At 44.6% G+C, this 9753-nt stretch overlaps 1 pseudogene, besides 2 other annotated features; it reads right to left on the reverse strand.

The window, feature by feature from the left end:
• Positions 1256–2545: an enhancer, noted in NCBI's record as "VISTA enhancer hs1186". NCBI's record gives its function as "enhancer in: neural tube[5/7] | hindbrain (rhombencephalon)[5/7]" and the evidence as "EXISTENCE:transgenic organism evidence [ECO:0001131][PMID:17130149]".
• On the reverse strand, positions 7103–7206 carry RNA5SP461 (RNA, 5S ribosomal pseudogene 461; annotated as a pseudogene).
• Positions 9034–9535: an enhancer, noted in NCBI's record as "H3K4me1 hESC enhancer chr18:75577351-75577852 (GRCh37/hg19 assembly coordinates)". NCBI's record gives its function as "activates a minimal SCP1, AML or CMV promoter by ChIP-STARR-seq in naive H9 embryonic stem cells {active_cell/tissue: H9 hESC(naive)}" and the evidence as "EXISTENCE:reporter gene assay evidence [ECO:0000049][PMID:30033119]".

Consider the following 9753-nt stretch of genomic DNA (forward strand, 5'->3'; position numbering starts at 1 on the left):
AATTATTGGCACTTGTTAATTTATGCCTGGAATTGGAAAGTAGGACCTGCATAATAGAAAGGAGTTGTGTCTTCTTTATTGCTTTTTATAATGTGGTCATAAAAGAAATGAAAGTCGTAGAAGACCAGTTGAAAGAGTAGCATGATGTGAAAGTTTCTAAAATAGCCCTGTCACATTAAAATGCAGTATGTCTGGAATTAGGATACATTGCTTAATGCAGATAGTCTATTAACGGCGCAAAAGAAAATTAGTAAGTAGGAATTATATATTTTCTTCTTTAAATATGGGCTTCTAATGAGGCATATTAAACTTCCTTACCCATTTATTGACTAAAAGAGCTTCAGTCACGCCTCTGGATAAGTATTCCTTGTGCAGTATGCCAAAGAGTGTATTGAATTTTGGTTAAATCAAGATAATAATTAAAATCATATATTGCTTCCCCAGCACAATTCCTTAAGGTTAAAATTATTGAATTTTATTTAAGTTTTGCATAAAAAAGTGTGATCAATGCTTCAAGGAAATAGGAGGTATCTTAATCTACCAAAATTTTGCACGCTTTGAGGCAGAATCACCTTTCAGGTGAGAGGAAATACAGTTGTGGAGTTGAAGGAGGTCCCTGTTAAGACGATGTGAAGTGTCATCAACCTTAGAACTGCCAAGAAAAGACCCAGGTTTCTGAGAATGAAGCAAAGTCTAGACCTTCATGCAGGAGCAGGTGCGCCCAGGAGGACTGCCCTCCCGGAAGGTGCCTCTGCACCTGCTCCTAGCTCTGCCAGGAAGAGGCCCAAATTGTAGAAAAGCTTGGTATTGCGTTATTTCCCACTAAGTGTGCTGGAAAAAGATAAGTGAATCCAATGACCCCTTCATTTTATTAAAAATGGGCAATTTTAAAGCCCGATTATATAAGAATTTCATTGCACTTAGTAGGTATAGAAATGATTGGAAGTATCAGCCTTCCACTTTTGGCCCAGGGAGGAGAGGCAGAAATAAAGCAATGATGAGAAGACCGGAATGAGAAAGGGCTCAGGGGAGAGGGCAGGAGAGATGGGCTGGCTTTGCCGCCATTGTCTGTCTTTCATGTAAGAACCATTGGGCTTGGACAGATGGAAAAGCTGAGGTCCTCAGAGAGCAGGTACAAGGCTGGTGGGGGAGCCTCAACTCATCCTGTCCTCGCACTTTACATAGAAAGCATGCTATAAACACGGAAGTCACGCCTTCCAACTTTCCTAGATGGTTATTTATGCTGAAGTCTATAAGGTGCAACTGAAAATGGTCACATGGTACTACATAGTCGACGGTTGTCCCCAAGCCTCTCAGTGAATCCAATGGGCCATTGGCACTGGGGCATTCCCTATCTTCTGTGTAGCTTCTGCCCTGCCTGTGGTAACTTGCACTCTGTCTACGTGGTTGACAGATCACCAGGTTGCTCTCTGAATCCCCTGTGTTGGTTGACATGGCAACCCTCAGCTGATTGTAAAATAGTTTCATATGTGGTATATGCTGATGTGATCGGTTGTACTTATTGATAGCCAGTCTCAGTACTGTACTTAACTAGACAGATAACACAAGCCCAGTCCCTTTAAAGCAGCATCTGGTTAATAGAGTATGGTCCCATAATTCATTTTTAACTTCCCCTAATTGCTCCAGTCATTTCATCATTACAAATATTAGGTATCTGCGGAAGGGAACAGCGATTCTCCTGCCTAGACTGAGGATGCCAGCATGGGTGGGGGCAGTGCTAATCTAATTAGAGAGGTAGCCGAGCTGAACGGCTGCATTTTCTCATGCTCAGCATTCACAAGTTAGGTCCCAGCAGATGTACCATGAAATTAATTTCCTCTGGTGTAACCAGAAACTCTCTGTTATGCAATTTCCATTTCACAGATGATAACCTATTATCACTTTATTCAAGGAAAATGTGTTAATAGCCACAAGGAAAATTGAATTATTCATATTTGCTCATTTCTATTCTGAAGCAAGCTCTTCTCTTTTCATGCATTGGGAGAAGGCTAATGTAAACATGACCAGATCCTTGTAAATTGGCTTGTAGAAGAGGCTGTTAGCATGCTGCCTGGGGACCCTCTGGGATGGGGGATGGCTGATCGCTGGAGTACAGCAGGTGGGAGGCAGGCACTTACCAGGTGGTGATGGAGCTAATGGGAGCCAGGTCAAATGCGTCAGCTGTCAGTGCAGAGTGCCAGCGGTGTTGGATACAGTAGCCATGGGAAGCAGGCACAGTAACAAGTGGCTCAGCCTTCCAGTCCACACCCCTGGGCTGAGGCAGGGCTTTGGGAAGCAGGTGCGGCTTTGGGCCAAGGAAGGCAAAGCTGCCTGTGGGTCGGGGATGAGTCCTGCCTTCCTGATGGAGCTCCCTCGTGAACCTCCCCAGCCCCTGGGGACATACAGTTTCAGGGGTAACCAAAGCAAAGGGACATATTTTTTAGAATCCACTTTGGACCTGAGATTAAGAAACCAAGTTCTCCTCTGAGGTCAGCCACCAAGGAGGCTCAGGTGAGATCAGCCATCAAGGAGGCTCAGGTGAGATCAGCCACCAAGGAGGCTCAGGTGAGATCAGCCATCAAGGAGGCTCAGGTGAGATCAGCCACCAAGGAGGCTCAGGTGAGATCAGCCATCAAGGAGGCTCAGGTGAGATCAGCCACCAAGGAGGCTCAGGTGAGATCAGCCACCAAGGAGGCTCAGGTGAGATCAGCCACCAAGGAGGCTCAGGTGAGATCAGCCACCAAGGAGGCTCAGGTGAGATCAGCCATCAAGGAGGCTCAGGTGAGCCCCGCAGGAGCAGTGCTTTCTCAGGTTTCTTTCTGGGCCCAGCGCTCTGTGGTCAGTTGAGTTTCTTTCCCTGAATTAATGACAGGGCGAGTGAGTTTGAATTGTGAGACGTTCCAGTCCTTCTCCGGTGCTCCCCACTGGATCTTCCTCTAAATTCCAAGAAACAGACAAGGATCCGCTCAGTGCGGCGCAGGCACGTGCCATGCCTGTTTGATGCCTGACTTGGCTCTGCTTCCTGTCTCCTGCGTCCCCTGCCTGCTACCCTAAGGGGGACGAAGCAAAGCTCCACCGCCCCTTTTCCTTCTCCCTACAGCTCATCAGTGCAGCTGAGGGGAGCCGGTCAGGCCCCTTGCGCTCTCCCCGCCCAGCTCCTCCTGAGACGCCACCCAGCTGCCTAGGGCCCAGTGCCCTAAGTGTCCTCTCTGTTGCCACCTGCTTTCGAAGGCCGACACCCGTTCCACAGGAAGAAGGTGCCAAGTGGGGTCGTACGGTGTCTGTTTAGGCATCTTCCCAGACTTTTATCTTTATAGGGGGAGAGGTGAGAGAGAAGCAGAGATAAGACAGAGACCCAGAGAGAGACAGGACAAGAGAGAGACTGAGAGAGAGAGGCTGAGAGAGAGAGGCTGGAGGGAGGCAGGTAGGGATGGCAGTGAAGACCTTTGTGCCCACTCAGAGCCCCGCGGTCCAGGCGGCTGCCATCTGCAGGGCTGCCCTGGGCCAGAGGTCTTCAGCCCGGCTCTCCTTCCCCTTGCCAGCTCTAGAGCCCAGGCAACCCCTTTAAGATCTCATTCCTCCCTTTCCTCATCTGTCCAGCAAGGCTGGTAATGCCACCTCCTTTTACTCCACACACACTGTTGAGCTTTTGGTTTTTCTTGCACTCTGCTAGGAGACCTAAGGGTGCCTGATGCAGGTGAGCTCCCTGGCTTCTGATGCAGGTGAGCTCCCTGGCTTCTGGGAGTTCGCTTTCTACACATGGAGGCAGAGAGCAACCACATGGACCATCTGGAAGCCAGAAAGGTGCTGGGAGGGAGAGCTTGGGGTCTGTGGGACAGCTTGGAGGGGGTCCAGTCAGAGCACCCTCAGCACCGGCTCTTCTCCCAAAGCCAGCGGGAGAAGACTCTGAAGAAGCCTGGGGCAGGGGAAGGAGGTGAAATGCCTACGAGGTTAGAGAGAGGGCACTGAAGCCCAGCTAGTTTAGGGAAGAAGGGTCCAGGGTGGCTCTTGGAAAAGGGAAGTTTGCTCTTGGTGGTGAGCAGCCATCCTTTATGTAATCTGGGTATTATGAAGAAGGATGGAAAGAGTTAGGAGTGAAGGTCAGAGGCATGAGGGTGTCAGGGAGATGCTGCCTGGGGACGAGGACACGCAGAGTCTCCATCACCTCATCTGCATCCCTCAAGAAGCACAGCTCAGGAGCTGAAGATGGGTCATCAGGGAAGGCCTTCAGGAGGGGACATTCCGGCTGAACTTAAAGGAGACAAGACGTTCCGAGAGCTCGATGGAAAAATTTGTCCAAAGCCCTCGGCGTGAATAAACACCTGTCCAAAGCTTGGCGTCGCAGTCCTCCTGTGGCCTTGGCAAACTCTCTGGCTCTCTGCAGGCTGGACGGAGGGGCCCCTCACCTCCTGGGCATTGCAGTCCTCCTGTGGCCTTGGCAAACTCTCTGGCTCTCTGCAGGCTGGGTGGAGCAATCCTTCACCTCCTGGTGCTCATCACAATCACCGCCTTGCACAGAAACACGTAAAAACACCCAGGTCTTCAGAACTGCCTTTGCTTTTTGAAAATTAACATTCCTCTCATTCTAAGGCATGATCAACATAGAGATCATAAAAATAAAGACAAGGCTTTGTGAGATCATAAAATAAAGAATAAATTGAAATCACTTGTGCTATAGATATCATTCTCTCCATTCTGCACTTTTGAGAATGTCACTCTGTGTTAGCATATCAGAACAAAAGAATCCTGAATAAATTCATATAAATATATATCCTGATCACACATTGGACCTGAGGTATTCACCGGCATGGTTGTCTTCGGAGCAACAGAGATTAACTCTTCCATCCTTCGGCTTCTTCAAACCCCCCGATGCTTTCAGCACAAAGACTTATGACCACAATGTAAAAGCCATTATTTATAAAAAGTTGATTAAAATACATATCTGATGTATAACACAGTCTATGGTTTACACTGATATTTAATATTAAGTATTTTAAATCCATATTTTCTAATATATACAAGATTTTATTTAGATACATGAAGCCAATTACTCCAGTTTACAATATAAAGATAGACTGATAACACGACAGTCCTATTTTGAGTTTCAGCATGTAGCTATCACATTGCCTCACGTTTTATTTTTTAATTGATCACTCTATATTGAGATGAGTGCACATTCACTTGTGATTGTAAAAAGTGATTTGGAGAGGCTCCATGTACCATGAATCTAGTTTCCCCAAAAGGTAACATCCTGCAAAACTACAGAACAATATCGCTGCCAAATAATTGAGTTTGGTAAAGTCTATTGGTTATGTCTGGATTTCTCCAGTTTTACATGCACCATGCACCTGTGTGTGTTTGTGTATGTTTAGCTCCATGTAATTGTATCATGTGTAGAGATTCGTGTATCCACCAACACAGTCGAGATACACAGTCAAGATACACAGTCGAGATACACAGCATCCCATCAGCACCAGGAGCCCTCATGCCGCCTCTTACCGCCATGCCCAGCCCTCCTGCCTCCTCTCTTCCACCTCCATCCACCCTGGCTGTCCCATTCATTCTCCACCTCTACCCTTTTGTCAAAATGTTACATAAATGTTACTGTAAATGATGCATTTGGGAGTTGGCTTTTATCATGCAGCATGATTCCTTTCAGATGCATCTAACTTGTGTGTATCAATAATTCATTTTCACTACTGAGTAATATTTCAAGATATGATGTACTGCAGTTTGTTGAATCATTCAGTCATTGGAGGACATTGGGGCTGCTTCTGGATTGGGCTTGTCACAAGTAGAGCTGCTACGAAGATTTTCATTCAGAATTTTGTACGAACCTCAGTTTTCCTTTCTCTGGGATAAATGCCAAGAAGTTTAATTCCAGTGCTGGCACATACGGTAGTTTTTTCTGAGCTTGCCAAACTGTTTTCCAGAGGGGCTGTACCATTTTGCATTCCCAGCAGCGATAGAAGAATGATCCATCCTGGTCAAAATTTGGTGTTTTCAATCTATTTTAACTTTCAGCCTCCTGTTAGGTATGTCGTGGTGTCTCACAAGGTTTTAATTTGCATTTCCCTATTGGCTGATAATGCTGAACATCTTTCCATGTGCTTATTGCCATCATATGTCCTCTTTGGTGAAATGTGTCTTTATGTCTTGTGTGCATTTTCTAGTTGGATGGTTTGTGCTCTCACTGTTGAGGTTTGAGAGTGTCACGTATATCACAGAAATGAGCTCTTCTCCAGACAGGTGGCTTGCAAACGTTTTCTCCTAGCCCATTGCTTGTCTTCTCATTGTCTTAACAGGCTTTAACAGAGCAGTTTCTTGTTTGGATAAGGTCCAATTTACCAATTTTTTCTTTAACAAAATATGCTTTCAGTGTCAAGTCTAAGAACAAGTCCCAAATGCAGGAAATTTTCTCTATTATTTTTCGTAAATTTTTTTTTATTTTTCTCTTCCATTTAAGCCAAGTTGAGTTAATTTTTGTATAAGGCGTGAGGTTTAGGTTGAAGGGTATTTTTTGTTTGTTTGTTTTTGCTTATGAATGTCCAATACAGCCGCATTTATTGACAAGGCCATATTTCCTGTAATGAATTTCACACTTATGAAAGTCCAATACAGCCCCATTTATTGACAAGGCCATATTTCCTCTAATGAATTTCGCAGCATCTTTGTCAAAACTCAGTTGGGCATATTTGTTTGGGTCTACTTTGGGGTTCTCTATTTTGTCCCATGGAACTATGAATCTATCATTGTGTGAATACTGTACTGTATTGACGACTATTACTAGATAGAAATACTTAATATCGAGGTGAATGATCTCTCATGTTTTATGCTTTTACTGATAAAGATTGTTTCAGTTATTGTAGTTTCTTTGCTCTTCCACAGAAATTTTAGAACGAACTTGTAGTATGTCTATGAAACATCTTGCTGGGATTTTGAAGGAAATAGAATGAAGCCTATAGATCTGTTTGGGGAAAATTAACCTTTCTCTGTGATGTCTTCCAATTAATGGACACAATATGTCTCTCCATGTATTTGGATCTTTATTTCACTAGCATTTGATAATTTTCAGCCTCTGGATCCTATCTGGGTTCTGCTGTGTTTATACCTAAGCATTTCACTTTTTCCCATTGAGGTGCTGAGCGGGCCCAACCCTGCTTAGCTTCTGAGATCAGACGCGTGCGGGGTGTTGTGGCTGTAGACAATATTTCATCTTCTTTGGAGCAGTTATACTTGGTAATTGTGAACTTTAGTAATCACATACTCATCGTTAGTGGTAAAGAGAAGTGTGATTGATTTTCATCTGTTTGCCTTCTATCCTGCAGCCAAAGTAGAATCACTTATTAATTCTAGGAGAATTTTGGAGATCCCCTGCGATTTTTTGGTGCATACACGTTAAAGATCATTTTGTCTTCCTGCTGGATTGATCTTTGTACCCTTATTAATGTTCCCCTTTGTTTCTGGTAATTTTCTTTTCTCTAAAGCTTGATTTACCTTATGTTAATGTAGCCATGTCTTGGGGGAGTGTGTATATGTCTATGTGCTTGCATAATATATGTACTTCCATAATTTTAGTTTCAAACTGTCTTTGGCATTTAACATATTTCTTGTGAAAACATATTGTTGGGTGTGTTTACTTTATTTTTTATTTGTTTTAAAGCCACTCTGATCATCACTACTTCTTAATTGGTGTTACATAACACTATTTTCACTTAAGTTAATTATTGATTAGTGCTCAAATCTGCCATTTTATTTGTTTGTGTTTCTGACCCAGCTGCTTATTCCTGTTTCTGTTTTAGTGCCTTCCTATGTAGTACTGTGCTTGACTAAGGATCCAGTTTTACTTATTTACAGTGTTTCTATTGTATTGCTTTGTGCGTGTTTCTTAGAAATTTTTCTGGGAGCCTTCATACCTCAGTTTCGCCGCTGTGTCTCCCTGAAATGTGCTAGGTTAATTTTACTTCTGTGGGCTCCCCTACCATCCCCACTTCTTAAATATGGTTGACTTGACTCTCAGATGGTATTGGAATTATCTGGCAATTATCAAATAGATGACTTCAGTATGAGTTTGTTCGCTCACTGCTATAAAGAAATACCTGAAACTGGGTAATTTATAAAGAAAATAAGTTTAATTGGTTCCCCTCCCACCTGGCCCCTCCTTCAACACTGGAGATCACAATTCCACATGAAGTTTGGGCAGGGACACAAATCCAGACCATATCAACTTAGACGGGAAGAACGGGCTCTTCCTGCTGTCTCCTTTTCCTTTGTAATGCTCCCAAACTCCAAGTTGCTATTTCGTTTTGCTTTTAGGACTTCCTTAAGCCAGTCTTCAAGGACAGGTCTGCTGGCCACAAATTCCCCTTGTTTTTCTCATCAGAGAGTGTCTTTATTTTCCCTTCATTATGGAAGGATCTTTTCACCAGATACAGAATCTGTGGCTGATGGTTATTCTAATTCAGCACAAGGAAAACCTTGTGCCACTGTGTGTGGCCTCTGCAGTTTCACAGGGAGAGTCTGCTGTCATTTGAATTGCTGTTCTGTGGATAACACATCGTTCAGCTCCTGTCCCTTTCAAGACTTTTGCTCTGTTACTCTTCAGGAGTTTCATCACGATGCACATTAGCCTGAATTTACTTGAGTCTATCCTCTTTGGGGTTCATGTAGCTCTTTGAGTCTATGTGTTTACATCTTTTGCCAGATCTGGGAAGTTTTCAGTCGTTATGTTATTCAAATACTCTTTCATCTCACTCTCTTCTCTTCTCCCTACTGAATTCTTATGAGATAAAAGTTGGGATTTTTTGGTTGTTGTCCCATAGGTCCCTGAGCTCTGTTTATTTTGGAATTCTTAAATTCTATCTTCTCTCTGTTGTCAGATCATGTAAATCCCATCAACCCGTCCTCATAGCCACGGACCCTGTGCTCTGCCATCTATACTCTGCTGGTGAACTCACCTGGTGAGTTTTATGTATTCAGTGATTGTATTTTTAGCTATATAATTTCAGTTTGTTTTTAGTGTAAGTTCTATGTTTTCGCTGATTTTTTTCTCATTTGTTTCAAGATAATTTGTAACTGGTTGTTGAATTACTATTATGACGGCCCTTAAAAATCCTTGGCCGCAGTTTTGACATCTGGTTCATCTTAGGGTTTGGTGATGGTTGATTGCCTTTGTTCAAGTTGTGATATTCCTGGTTCTTGGGATGATGAGTGATTTTTTGCTGTGTCCTGGGCATTTTGTCTGTTACGTTAGGAGACCCCGAGTCCTTAAACTTCCTATCGAAGCAGCATGTCCTGGTGTCGTTGTGGTCGTCTCGGTTTCTGTGCCACGCTGGGTTCCACCGGATTCTGCTGGTGGCGTCTGGGGCCAGAGGAGCTTCCCCGGGCTGGTGGTGCAGGGAACCCTGGCTCTCCATCTCCCTGGGGGACAGGACTCTTCAGCCTGGGGAGGAAGGGGCTTCCCACGCTGGCTGTGCTGCTTGCATCAGCTTCACCTTTGCTGGTGTTCCCTGAAGCCCTGGTGTCTGTGTTTCTTGTGAGGAAGGAGAACTTTGGGTTTGTAGAACCAAAAGGCTGCCTGACCCAGCTCTTGCGATGAGATCCCCTCCTGCTGGTGCCCAGTCTTGTCTGGATGTGTCCGGGTTGGGGAGGAAGCCGAGGCCCCGCAGGGAGGCAAGGACGCCTGTGGTACAGGACGCTCTGGCCAAGCCCTGGGCCTTCCGGGACTCACCTGCGGCTGGTGGCAGAACCTGT

This window comes from Homo sapiens, chromosome 18 (genome assembly GCF_000001405.40).
Source record: "Homo sapiens chromosome 18, GRCh38.p14 Primary Assembly".
Classification (NCBI taxonomy): Eukaryota; Metazoa; Chordata; class Mammalia; order Primates; family Hominidae; genus Homo; species Homo sapiens.